We start from the raw sequence: 14,555 nt of genomic DNA, 5'->3' as shown, positions 1-14,555 counted from the left end.
TCACGCATTTCAAGGAAATCACTTCTCTTCTAACTACAAGCAGCCAGAAAAGAACAGACAATAAAACACAGATAAGACAGCTCAGGCACAGAGGAAGGCAGGGAGAAAGTCTCTTGGGTAACTGCCAAACTTCACCTTCATACAAGGGGCCCCAGTGAAACAGTGGGCCTTAATAAGCACATTCCTTTCCCTTCAGGTGCACTAAGATAGGGAAGCTAAAGGCAGACTCGGGATGCCTGCAACTGCAGGAAGATGTATTGGAACAGACACAAAACTCTCCCTCCCAGATAAGCACAACAAAGAGACACAGAAGCAGTCCAAGCCTCTGATAAACTCTCCCACCCTAAATCCTTAAAAATTCTTAGTCTGTAAGAGAGTGCGGCTTCTGACGTAACTCAGAAGGGTCAGAAGTCCCTCCCAGGTTTAAAATAAATCTGTTGACTGTCAAGCCACCCTTCATGTTTCTCTCCTCTTTCTTTAATTCTTACAGAGGCTGCAGTGAGCTATCATACCACTGCACTCCAGCCTGGGTGACAGACCAAGACCCTGTCTCAAAAAAAAAAAAAAAAAGAAGCCCTGGCGAGGTGGCTCATGCCTGTAATCCCAGCACTTTGGGAGGCCGAGAAGGGTAGATCACTTGAGGTAAGGATTTCAAGACCAGCCTGGCCAACATGGCGAAAACCCATCTCTACTAAAAATACAAAAATGGGCTGGGCGCAATGGCTCATGCCTGTAATCCCAGCACTTTGGGAGGCCGAGGTGCATGGATCACCTGAGGTCAAGAGTTCTCGACCAGCCTGGTCAACATGGTGAAACCCCGTCTCTACTAAAAATACAAAAAATTAGCTGGGCATGGTGGCGGATGCCTGTAATCCTAGCTACTCGGGAGTCTGAGGCAGGAGAATCACTTGAACCCAGGAGGCGGAGGTTGCAGTGAGCCGAGATTGCACCATTGCACTCCAGCCTGGGCAACAAGAGCAAAACTCCGTCTCAAAAAAAAAAAAAAATTAGCTGGGCCTGGTGGTGGGTGCCTGTAATTGCAGCTATTTGGGAGGCGGAGGCAGGAGAATCACTGGAACCCAGGAGACAGAGGCTGCAGTGAGCCGAGATTGCACGACTACACTCCAGCCTGGGCGACAGAGTGAGACTCCACCCCACCACCCGTCCCCACCCTCAAAAAAAAAACAAAAAAAATCCAGGGTCTTAAACTCTAGCTACAGTTCATGCCCCAAGAGGGGACCTCGTCTTACAAGGACATCAGGCCTACACTTGCTTGCACACACAGACCAGACTAAGCTCTCCAACATGAATGGTGAGGAGCAGTCATATTGCCCTGGATTTCCTGCTGGTGGCCAGGGCTGGCTGTGTGCAGTTGCCGACACCTCTTGCTGCACCTGGATTAATGACCGACTTAGCTGGCTTGGCTTTGACCAGGAGCCTGACTGTGGTCTGTTCTCCAGGTGGGTCTGATCATTCTACTTGATCATAGCCACAGTTATTCTCATCTGATGTCACTTAACGCCAATAGAAAGGATTTCATCCATGCCACTGTCACAGTACAATTAATTGGGGCATCTGATAGGGTGGCCTGTGTTTTTTTTTTTTTTTTAGTCAGAGTCTTGCTCTGTCGTCCAGGCTGGAGTGCAGTCGCACCATCTCGGCTCACTGCAACCTCCGCCTCCTGGGTTCAAGTGATTCTCCTGCCTCAGCCACCCGAGTAGCTGGGACTACAGGTGTGTGCCACCATGCCTGCTGATTTTTGTATTTTTGGGGTGTGTGTGTGTGTGTGTGTGTGTGTGTGTGTGTGTTTTGAGACGGAGTTATGTTCTTGTTGCCCAGGCTGGAGTGCCGTGGCTCGATTTCGGCTCACTGCAACTTCTGCCTCCTGGGTTCAAGAAATTCTCCTGCCTCAGCCTCCCAAGTAGCTGGGATTACAGGCGTCCGCCACCATGCCTGGATAATTTTTTGTATTTTTAGTAGAGATGGAGTTTCACCATGTTGGCCAGGCTGGTCTCGAACTGCTGAGCTCAGGTGATCTACCCACCTCAGCCTCTCAAAGTGCTGGGATTACAGGTGTGAGCCACCGCACCTGACCTGGCCTGTGCTTCTTGAAAACAAATTCTTAGCTGGTTACACAAAAGGCCAGGCAGTGCAGTTGTAGGGACCAGGTCTGCCATGATGCCATGGAGACCTTGCACATCTCCACGTGGGCGAAGGCAAAGGCTTACCTGAAGTCTGACTTGAGTCTTGGCAGAACGTCCTGTGATTTTTTTCCAGGAAGTGGGCAAGACAAGAAGCCTGGTGAGGAGCCACCGTGAGGCAGTTTCTCATCGGCCTCCCTGGCTCTGGTGTGGTATCGGGCTTTCTACCTTGCCCAGACTTAATTTCCAGCTGCAGGCTTCTGTGTAAGTCTATTACAAAACTGCTTGTGGTCGTTTTTGAGTTGGCCCTTCAATGTCACCTGGCCCCTCTGGTTCAGTGTCATCCTGTGGGACTAAGGATGTTGGAGCTGACACCATGATGGTCTTACTGTCTCTTTAAGCAATAAACTGTCTGAATGCAGTTGGGCTCACCATTTCTTTAGCGGCTGAATCCGTGGACACGTGACAAGCCAGCCTAGCAACCGCCTCCGCACCGTTGCTTAGGAACTGTTTGACCACTTGACACAAATGTGCAGAAATGTGAGGGAGGATATGCTCTCGCACACTTCGGCATTTTGATGAAATATCTTTCTAATGTCACCTTACTTTACAATTTCCCGCAGCAGCTTCCTGGGTCACATTGCCCTAATATATCAATACCCGTGAGCACTAAGGAACCCTGCACCATATTAGGACTGGAAACCCACTGGGAGCTTGGATGTGGGGCGTTACTTAAGATATTCTAAAAAGGAAGACAAGAAACCATAACTGTACTCTTACTAGAAAAAAACTGCAGTGCAAAGAAATTACTGCATCAGTGTAACCTAAGATTGCAGATCACAAACATTTCACAGTAAAAAAGGGTATTTGGAGATCAGTTAAGCCCAAAACCAAACTAAACCAAATGGGTCCATAGTCTTGTGTCTGTCATACAGGTCAGGAAACAGAAACACCAAACTGTAAAGTAACTTATCCAATATCTCACTTGTGCAGTTGAGACTGACAGTTTCCCTTTCTTCCATCAAAAATTGGTCTCCTTACACAAGCTGTGTAAGGGGCTGTGAACAAACACGTACACCTACAACAAAGAATATGCTCTTAGTCTTTAGTTTGCAATTCTCTTCCCCTTTGAAAAGTTAGGACAGCCTGTAATCTCAACACTTTGGGAGACCGAGGTGGGCAGATCGCTTGAGGCCAGGAGTTCGAGACCAGCCTGGACAACATAGTGAAAGCCTGTCTCTACGAAAAGTACAAAAAAAAAAAAAAATTAGCTGGGTGTGGTGGCACGTGCCTGTGGTCTTAGCAACTTGGGAGGCTGAGCTGGGAAGATCACTTAAGCCAGGGAGGTTGAGGCTGCAGTGAGACGAGATCACATCACTGCACTCCAGCCTGGGCAACAGAGCAAGCCTCTGTCTCAAAAAGAAAGAAAGAGACAGACAGGGAAGGGAAGGGAAGGGGAGGGGAGGGGAGGGGAGGGAGAAAGGAAGAAGGATGGAAGGGAGAAAGGAAGGAGGAAGGAAGGAAGGAAGGAAAGAAAAGGGAAGGGAAGGGAAGAAAGAAAAGTTAAAGCATATTGTTGCATTAAGCAAAATCTTGAAGCAGACCAACAGATGAAATTTTTCACTCTTATAGAAAGTGTATGCCCTACATGTTGGCGCGTGCCTGTAGTCCCAGCTACTCCAGAGGCGGAGGCAGGAAAATCACTTGAACCTGGGAAGTGGAGGTTGCAGTGAGCCGAGATCACACCACTGCACTCCAGCCTGAGCAACAGAGCCAGACTGTCTCAAAACAAACAAGCAAACAAAAAAACACAACAAAAAGAAAACATATGCCCTAAAAATGTGACTATCTGGGGTGCTCTGGGAATGTGGCAAATGCTAGTCTATAGCACTGGTAGTTTCGGGGGTGCAATACTAGCGTGCAAGTGATAGTCTTTCTCTCGGTACTCACACGTGAAGGGCATCACTTGCCTGCGCGCCACTGTGCCAGTGTTTGTAATGATTTCGCCTCTATGGCTGGCCACCCTCTCACTCCTGATCTCTGTTCTGAGGCCATCACCCCACCCTTGCATGTTGCATATTCAGATGTCTATCTGGGTTTGTAGAGGGATATTAACAAGATAACCAAAAGTTTATTTTATTTGCAGTTTTTGATTATACACATTAATCACACTTTTTGCACTACTTATAGTGAGTTACATAACAAACATAGTCTCAATATTCGAATAAGAAGCAAAATACTAGAAAGATCTGCCTTCTCTACCTGGCTTTTTTATTTCTTTTCTAAGTTGCAATGTGGCTGTTAGAAAATATCCTTACAGTAACTGAATCACTTTGATTAAATTAAAGTGATAGCAACATGTTGATGTTTAACATGTTAACTTATATCTTTTTAAAGAAAATTAACTTTATTTCATAATTTGTGTCCTTAAAAGAGAATGTTTGTGTAATCACAAAACATTTTTCCAAGTTATTGGGTTTTTTGTTTGTTTGTTTGTTTTTGTTTGTTTTTTTCCTTTCTATACTGGGGTCAGCACTACAAAAACAAAAGTTACTGAATTTCAGCTGAATACTACTGTTTGGTAGAAGCTCTGGGCCTGAAATCTGCTCCTCTGTTGTCAAAAGATGTACTAGGCCAGGCACGGTGGCTCATGCCTGTAATCCCAGCTACCCAGGAGGCTGAGGCAGGAGGATTCCTTGAGCCCAGGAGTTTCAGGCTTCAGTGAGCTATGATTGCACCACTGCACTCCAGCCTGGATGACAGTGAGACTCTCTCTCTCTTTTTAAGAGACAAGGTCTCAATCTCTGGTCCAGGCTGGAGTGCAGTGATGCAATCATAGCTCACTGCAGGCTCGAACTCCTGGGCTCAAGTGATCCTCCCACCTCAGCCTCCCAAGTAGCTGAGACTGCAGGTGAGAGCCACCATACCTTCCTTGTAGAGACAGGGGACTCACTAAATTGTGCAGGCTGGTCTCAAACTCCGGTCCTCAAGTCATCCTCCTATCTCAGCCTCCCAAAATGTTGGAATTACAGGTGTAAGCTACCTTGCCTGGCTCCTGCCTTTTAAAAAAAAAAAAAAAAAAAAAAAAAAAAAAAAAAAAAAGATATACACCATGGAGGCTGAAGGAAACTGGGGAAGGTACCGTCTGTTTCCTGCTGTGCCCATTAGTTCCATCAGAGATAAATAAATGCAGTTTTACTTATGTTTTAAAATGTGGGCCAGGAGTGATGGCTCACACCTGTAATCCCAGCACTCTGAGAGGCCGAGGCCAGTGGATCACCTGAGGTCAGGAGTTCGAGACCAGCCTGGCCAACATGGTGAAACCCCGTCTCTACTAAAAATACAAAAATTAGCTGGGCGCAGTGGTGGGCACCTGTAATCCAGCTACTCAGGGGACTGAGGCAGGAGAATCACTTGAACCTGGGAGGTGGAGGTTGCAGTAAGCTGAGATCACGCCACTGCACTCCAGCCTAGGCGACAGAGTAAGATCCTGTCTCAAAAATAAATAGGCCAGGCGCGATGGCTCACACTTGTAATTCCAGCACTTTGGGAGACCGAGGCGGGCAGATCACGAGGTCAGGAGATCGAGATCATCCTGGCTAACATGGTGAAACCCCGTCTCTACTAAAAATACAAAAAATTAGCTGGGCATGGTGGCACCCACCTGTAGTCCCAGCTACTCAGGAGGCTGAGGCAGGAGAATCGCTTGAACCCGGGAGGCAGAGGTTGCAGTGAGCCAAGATCACGCCACTGCGCTCCAGCCTGGACGACAGAATGAGACTCCATCTCAAAAATACAAATAAATAAAAATAAATAAATAAATAATAAATAAAATGTGCACCAATTTAAAGAAACATGTTAAGTAAATAATGTTCATTTGGTACGTGGATATGGCAAAAGTGATGGTTGTATCTGAAGTACTGAAGTCTACGCTACCCTGGCCTATCTCTTGTCATGTGCATATGCTTTATGTGTGTGTCATATATAACATATATAATATGAAATACAAATATATTTTAATATATACCCTCCATGTTAAAACTTGGGAATTATGAAGAAAGTATCACAGTCTTTGGATTTCTTTTCTTTTCTGTTTTGTTTTGTTTTGTTTTGTTTTTTGAGACAGGGTTCCACTCTGTCACTCAGGCTGGAGTGCAGCGGCACGATCTCAGCCCACAGCAACCTCCGCCTCCCAGGTTCAAGCGATCCTCCCACCTCAGAGTTCCGAGTAACTGGGACTATAGGTGCCCACCACCATGCATGGCTAATTTTTGTTTTTTGGTTTTTTTTGTAGAGACAGGATTTCGCCATGTTGACCAGGTTGGTCTCAAACTCCTGACCTCAAGTGATCTGCCCACCTTGGCCTCCCAAAGTGCTGGAATTACAGGCATGGGCTACTGCTCCTGGCCGGATTTCTTTTTCTTTTCCAAAAATGGCATTTAGAACCATAACCTTTTTTCCCCTCATGTCAGATGGGTAATGTGCCTGTGCTGTAACAAGGTTGGAGAGAGGCATGTCTCACACATAAGCATGAAAACCGAACCACCATACTTATGAACCACAAAAGGGTGGGCAGCTACCATCTTTATGAAACAGTGTATTGAGGAGAAGTCAAAAGGAGAATTAGGCTATGAATTTATACATCACACACCAACTTCAGAGAATGGGCTTTTGTGGCCATGGCTGTGTTTTGAGCACCACCTGGTTAGCAAGCTGGAACTCAAACCAGTTCTCTGAACTCCAGTGTTAGAGTAGCTTACACGATGCTATGTACTGAGAAAACCATACGGGATGAGAAAAACATATGGTAATGGTAACAGAAATTGATTCATTCCACTGTTCACACAATGCAAACATGCCAAAGGAAGGACTCAGCCTGAACATATTTCCATTATGATGTAATTCTACAACTACAATCTAGTGTCTACACTTTACTTTTCTTTTTATTTTATTTTATTTTATTTTATTTTATTTTATTTTATTTTATTTTATTTTATTTTATTTTATTTTTGCGACGGAGTTTCGCTCTTGTTGCCCAGGCTGGAGTGCAATGGCACGATCTCAGCTCACTGCAACTTCTGCCTCCTGGGTTCAAGCAATTCTGAGGGATGCCTCAGCCTTCTGAGTAGCTGGGATTACAGGCACGCGCCACCACGCCCAGCTAATTTTGTATTTTAGTAGAGACGGGGTTTCCCCATGTTGGTCAGACTGGTCTCGAACTCCTGACCTCAGGTGATCTGCCTGCCCTGGCCTCCCAAAGTGCTGGATTACAGGCATGAGCCACCGCGCCCGGCCAGTGTCTACACTATTACAGGTGAGTGACAAAAATGAATATTATGGAACATTTCAATTCAGAATGTTGCCCTGTAGTGTTAAAAACGGAGTAGGGGGAGATATGTGTATTTACCGGTGAGGGTGAGATATTTATTTTATAGTGTTTAAAATGAAGCAATCCAGCCAGGGGCAGTGGCTCACACCTGTAATCCTAGCACTTTGGGAGGCCAAGGCAAGAGGATGGCTCGAGCCCAGGAGCTCGAGACCAGCCTGGCCAACATGGTGAAACCCCGTCTCGACAAAAAATACAAAAATCAGCCAGGCATGGTGGGGTGCACCTGTAGTCCTACTTGAGAGGCTGGGGCAGGAGAATTGCTTGAGCCCAGGAGGTTGAGGCTGCAGTGAGCCATGATCGCGTTACTACACTCCAGCCTAGGAGATAGAGAGCCTGTCTCAAAAAAAAGTTATTTATGACCACCACGGTGGCTCACACCTGTAATTCCAGCACTTTGGGAGGTCGAGGCAGGTGGATCACTTGAGCTCAGGTGTTCGAGACCAGCCTGGCCAGCATAGTGAAACCTTGTGTCTACTAAAAATACAAAAATTAGCCAGGCGATGTGGATTACAGCCAGGCGTCTGTAATCCCAGCTACTCGGGAGGCTAAGGCAAGAGAATCACTTGAACCCAGGAGGTGGAGGTTGCAATGAGCTGAGATCACGCCACGGCACTCCAGTCTGGACGACAGAGCAAGACTCCATCTCAAAAATAAAAAAAAGAGAGGGTCCCAATCCTGTTGTGTTGCCAGTGTCCACATTCCAGCTTTTTGCTAATCAACAAAGCCATTCTTTTTTTTTTTTTTTTTTGAGACATAATCTCACTCTGTCACCCAGGCTGGAGTGCAGGGCTTGAGGGTTCCAGCAAACACCTCTGCCATCTGTCTGCCTGCTTTTTCTGTCACTTTTGAAATTCTGGTATCATGCCCATGGTCAAAGCAACTAACTTCTGTGGCTACTAGAACTTTCTTCTTCCTTTTTTTTTGAGACGGTGTCTTGCTCTGTCGCCCAGACTGGAGTGCAATGGCGCGGATCTCTGCTCGCTGCAACCTCCGCCTCCTGGGTTCAAGCGATTCTCCTGCCTCAGTCTCCCAAGTAGCTGGGACTACAGGCACGTGCCACCATCCCTGGCTAATGTTTTGTATTTTTAGTAGAAACAGGGTTTCACCATGTTGGCCAGGCTGGTCTCGAACTCCTGACCTCAGGTGGTCTGCCTGCCTCGGCCTCCCAAAATGCTGGGATTATAGGCGTGAGCAACTGTGCCCTGCCTTCTTCCTGCTTTTCTCACTCTGCATTTCCTGCTGCTGTCGATGAAACTCAGCTTCTTATTCCCAGGCACTCTCAGAGTGAGGATCCATAGGAGGCTTTGATTCTCAGGACAGATAACCCCATCTTTCCTTTGGTTCTGACCTATTTTTCTGTGTCCTTGTTACTGTGGTCATACCCAGAGAAGTAACATTTTGTCTTGCATTTGCAAAAATCTCCACCTTTCCCCACAAAGGGATTTCAGCACAGTGGCTATTTTAACAGATACCATGCAGCACGTACCACACATTCCCTTCCTGAGTCCTCGAAAGTAATTTTCAGCTTTTGATTGGTTATATTTTTCTTCCCAGCTACATTTTTGGGAAGTCCAGCAGAATAACTTGCTACTCTTTTAAAGGTTCTAATGATAAAATGAAACAAAACATCCCCTTTATATCATCACCCACAAAGCCCTAATGCGTGCAACAAAGATTGTGAAATGGCCAGAGAACAGTTTGTGAGACAGAAAGGATGGCTTTGATGGCCAGGCATGATGGCTCATGCCTATAATCCCAGCACTTTGGGAGATCGAGGTGGGTGGATCACAAGGTCAGGAGTTCAAGACCTGCCTGGCCAACATGGTGAAACCCCTTCTCCACTAAAAATACAAAAATTATCCAGGCGCAGTGGCAGGCGCCTGCAATCCCAGCTACTCAGGAGGCTGAGGCAGGAGAATCACTTGAAGCCGGGAGGCGGAGGCTGCAGTGAGCCGAGATCATGCCACAGCACTCCAGCCTGGGCAACAGAGCGAGACTCCGTTTCAAAAAAAGAAAAAAAAAAGAGAAAATATATTCTATGGGCCATGTGCGCTGGCTCACGCTTATAATCCCAGCAGTTTGGGAGGCAGGAGGATCGCTTGGTCCTAGGAGTTCAAGACCAGCCTGGGCAATATGGAAAGACTCTGTCTCTATTAAAAAAAAAAAAAAAAAGGCCGGGCACAGTGGCTCATGCCTGTAATCCCAGCACTTTGGGAGGCCGAGGCAGGTGGATCACCTGAGGTCAGGAGTTCAAGACTAGCCTGGCCAACATGGTGAAACCCCATCGCTACTAAAATACAAAAACAGCTGGGCATGGTGGTGGGTGCGTGTAATCCCAGCTACTTGGGAGGCTGAGGCAGGAGAATCACTTGAACCCGGGAGAGGTTGCAGTAAGCTGAGATCGCACCACTGCACTCCAGCCTGGGCAACAGAGCAAGACTCCATCTAAAAAAAGAATGAGGCGAGGCAAGGCGAGGCGGGGCGGCTTGGGGTGGGACGAGGCGAGGCGTTGCGTTCTGCGCTTGTGGTCCCAACTACTCTAGAGGCTGAGGTGGGAGGATCACAAAAAATACAACCCTGTACATGAATGTTCATAGCAGCTTTATTTGTAATAGCCACAAAGTGAAACAGCCCAAATGCCTTTTCAACATTAGGGATGAATGTTTATCTCTGTGATATGTCCATACTATGGAACAGTGCTCAGCAATACAAAGGAGCAAACCCTTGATACATGCAACGATTTGGATGGATTTCCACGGGATTATGCTGAGTGAAAAAGCCAATCTGAAAAAACTGAGTATTGTATGATTTCTTTTATACAATAACCCTGAAATAAGAAAATAGAGATTAGGTGCTGCGAGGGATTAGGGTGGTGGAGAAGGTAGGTGTCTGTTCCGTTTATAAAGGGGTAGCACAAGAGAGCTTTGTGGGGATGGAAGCCTTCTCTGTTGAATGTGGTAGTGGTTACACGTGAAATAACTGAATGGAATTAAACTCACACACATAAGTGCACACAAAACTGGTGAAATCTGAATACACTCTGGATTGCACCAACGTTAATATCCTGGTTTTGACATGGTACTAAATTTATGCCAGATGTTACCATTTGGGGAATTGAGTGGAGTGCATGGGTCCTCCCTTATAATTTTTGTTACCACTGCATGTGAATCTATACTTATTTTAAAACAAAAAGTTAAAAATCAAAATAGGCCGGGCATGGTAGCTCACGCCTGTAATCCCAGCACTTTGGGAGGCCGAGGTGGGTGAATCACCCGAGGTCAGGAGTTTGAGACCAGCCTGACCAACATGGAGAAACCCCATCTCTACTACAAATACAAAATTAGCAGGACATGGTGACACATGCCTGTAATCCCAGCTACTCACGAGGCTGAGGCAGGAGAATTGCTTGAAACCGGGAGGCAGAGGTTGCGGTGAGCCGAGATCGTGCCATTGCACTCCAGCCTGGGCAACAAAAGCAAAACTCCGTCTCAAAAAAAAAAAGAAAAGAAAAAGAAAAAGAAAAAAGAATCAAAATAAATAATGAAAGGAATGAATTATATAACCTATTGAATAAATTAGAAAACCGTGAGTCCATACTGCCATAAATAAATTAATGAATAAATGGAAAGTTTGATGAGGAATGGGATATTGACATAGCCTCAAAGTACCTCCCCACTCCGAACTGAAATAGGAAAATAATAACTTTAAAGTACAGAAACATGGCAAATACCATCTTAACGAAGGAATCAAAGTGAATATCATCAGTATTCAAATCCTGTGCCACCTCATAGGCTGAAATGAGGACACAGCATCACCTCTATGATCTTCCTATCCAAGATGAGAACCTGAGGATGGCAGGAAGGGCTGGAGGTCGGGGCCTGGAGCAGCTATTGCACTTAATCGCGGCTGCTAGCACCATGTCCCGCGTTTTGGTGCCTTGCCATGTGAAAGGCACCGTAGCCCTGCAGGTGGGGGACGTATGGACCTCCCAAGGCCGGCCTAGTGTGCTGGTCATTGATGTCACCTTCCCCTGTGTCACTCCGTTCGAGGGGATCACATTTAAGAATTATTACACAGCGGCCGGGCATGGTGGCTCACGCCTGTAATCTCAGCACTCTGGGAGACCGAGGCAGGTGGATCACCAGAGGTCAAAAGTTTGAGACCAGCCTGGCCAACATGGTGAAACCTTGTCTCTACTAAAAACACAAAAATTAGCCAGGTGTGATGGTGGGAGTTCAAGATCAGCCTGACCAACATGGAGAAACCCCGTCTCTACTAAAAATACAAAATTAGCCGGGGTGGTGGTGCATGCCTGTAATCCCAGCTACTTGGGAGGCTGAGGCAGGAGAATTGCTTGAAGCCGGGAGGTGGAGGTTGCAGTGAGCCGAGATCGCACCATTGCACTCCAACCTGGGCAAAAAGAGCGAAACTCCATCTCAAAAAAAAATAAAAAGAATTACTACACAGCTTTTTTGAGCATCCTGTCTGTCAGCACACCTCAGCACACACACCGGCCAAGTGGGTGACCTGCCTGTGGGACTACTGTCTGATGCCCAACCCACACAGTGAGGAGGGAGCCCAGGAGTATGTGTCGCTGTTCAAGCAACAGATACTGTGTGACATGGCCAGAATATCGGAGCTACACCTGATTCTGCAGCAGCCATCACCACTGTGGCTGTCTTTCACAGTGGAGGAGCTGCAGATCTATCAGCAGGGACCAAAGAGCCCCTCCATGATCTTCCCCAAGTGGCTCTCCCACCCAGTGCCCTGTGAGCAACCTGCACTCCTCCATGAGGGTCTCCCAGACCCCAGCAGGGTATCCTCTGAGGTGCAGCAGATGTGGGCACTGACAGAGATGATCCGGGCCAGTCACACCTCCGCGAGGATAGGCCACTTTGATGTAGATGGCTGTTATGACCTGAACTTACTCTCCTACACTTGAGTGGTGGCTCCTAGCCAAGATGTTGGCCTTTCTGTGCCCACTCAGACTTGGTTTGGGCCACCAGAGGCCGAAATGTGTTTTCTGTGCATTCCAAGTGTTGCCTGCATGCCTGTTCTGTCTGGGCAGCATTCACAGATTCAAGATTCTCCGGGGCTGACTGTGTTGCTTCAGCATGAGCTCCTGGCAAGGGGGCACTCTGTCTTCACCTGGCTGCAACTCAGTTCTTCCTTCTACCCAAAAACACTCCAGTCAGTTGTACTTACTAAGAATCCCTGAGTGCCCTCTGCCCCTCCTGCCAACATGCACTCTCCTGTCTTCTGCCTGCTCCTTCACCTCAGTGCAGTTGGGCTGGGCTGACCTACTAGAACGTGCTCCATGTATGGACCCAGAAGGCCATTGCTGCCATGGCACTTGGGATACTTGAGGAAGAAACAGAAACCTTATTTCTTCCTGTGTGTCCCCTAGTGACTTTCTTTCCCTTTGTGTTATGCCATAAAAAGAAAATTTCCTGTCTAAACTCTTCTGCTGCCTGCCTAGGAAGCAAAGCTGAAGATTTGGGCAGCCTGAGTCTCTCAGTTTCTGAGCTGGCTCCTGAATATATGTCCAAATGGGTGTGCCCATAGGGCCTCGGCAGGTGTCTCTAGCAAAGCCAGGGCCTGAGAATAAGAACTGGGATCTGTCTGCCATCTGACATAGCCCAAAGCACATTCCTATCCTTTCTCCCAGTTGCCCCTTTCCAAGAGACATGCTCAGCATGATGAGAGATCAACCATGGTGGGGAATGGGTCCAAGTAAGGGTTCTCATTGGTGCCTTTTAAGAGGCCTAGGTCCTCCATTAACTCAGGCCAACCATTAAGTGATGCAGGCTGCTCTTCCTTCATGTGAGAAAACCCTGTTTCCCTCTGGTTCTTCCTGGCTTCACCCCTGGTGGCTATTATAAAGCAGTACTGTTGTATGTCTTGGACCTGGAAAACTGGACATGTGTGCGACTCAACAGTTTTCTTGGGGGAGTTCAGTGACCTTTTGGTGGTCACCCTCTGCTCTCATCCATGAGTTCTTACATAGCCCCATTCAGCTGCTTCTGAAAGGGTGATGGAACAGTAGTCCTCAGTGTGTGTGTGAGTGAAGAGGACCTTGTGGTGGCAGGGACCATGCTTCATTCGTGGCTGTGTCCCCAGCCCAGGGCCTGGTATGCAGCAAGATCAGTAAATACTTGTGGAATGCAAAAAAAAAGAAGAAGATGCAGAACCTGACCTAGCCAGAAGGAAACATCAGACAAACCCAAACTGAGGGACAGGCTACAAAATAACAGGCTTCTAACCTTCAAAAGTATCAAGGTCATGAAAGTCCAGAATTTCTTTTTTTTTTTTTTTTTTGAGACAGTCTCACTCTGTTGCCCAGGCTGGAAGTGCAGTGGCGCAATCTCGGCTCTCTGCAGCCTCCGCCTCCTGGGTTCAGGTGATTCGCATGCCTCAGTAGCTGGGATTACAGGGGTGCACCACCACACCCAGCTAATTTTTGTATTTTTAGTAGAGACGGGGTTTCACCATTTTGCCTAGGCTGGTCTCGAATCCCTGACCTCAGGTGATCCACCGGCTTCAGCCTCCCAAACTGCTGGGATTACAGGCACGAGCCACCGGGCCTGGACTTCTTCCTTTTTTTTTTTTTTTTTTTTTTTTTGAGACAGGTTCTCCCTCGGTTGCCCAGGCTGGAGTGCAGTGGCGCAATCACAGCTCACTGCAGCCTTGACCTCCTGGGTTCAAAGGATCCTCCCACCTCAGCTTCCTGAGTAGCTGTGACTGCAGGCTCGAACCAACAGGCTCAGATGGTTTTTGTATTTTTTGTGGAGACAGGATCTCCCTATGTTGCCCTAGCTGGTCTGGAACTCCTGGGCTCAAGCAATCTGCCCACCTCAACTTCCTAACGTGCTAGAATTACAGACGCGAGCCACCATGCCTGACTAGAAAGGACCTTATTGAGACAACTGATAAAACTTAAATGGGGTTTGAGATTAGATGGTAATAACATATTACATTTTGATGGCTATATTTTGGTTATATGAGAATGTTCTTTTTTTTTTTTT

General features: G+C 47.1%; 1 non-coding gene and 2 pseudogenes across 1 annotated transcript; 2 read left to right on the top strand and 1 right to left on the bottom strand.

Annotated features, from left to right (window-relative positions):
- On the top strand, positions 4,775-5,027 carry RN7SL785P (RNA, 7SL, cytoplasmic 785, pseudogene; annotated as a pseudogene).
- Positions 6,608-6,711, bottom strand: LOC124905277 (small nucleolar RNA U13). The gene has a single exon (XR_007068440.1). It is a non-coding gene; the product is annotated as a small nucleolar RNA U13 (small nucleolar RNA).
- NICN2P (nicolin 2, pseudogene) lies at positions 11,376-13,697 on the top strand (annotated as a pseudogene).

The sequence above is a fragment of the Homo sapiens genome, chromosome X (genome assembly GCF_000001405.40).
Source record: "Homo sapiens chromosome X, GRCh38.p14 Primary Assembly".
In the NCBI taxonomy this organism is placed as follows: Eukaryota; Metazoa; Chordata; class Mammalia; order Primates; family Hominidae; genus Homo; species Homo sapiens.
The sequence above is the reverse complement of the archived record's forward strand: the minus strand, read 5'-3'. Positions and strand labels throughout refer to the sequence as shown.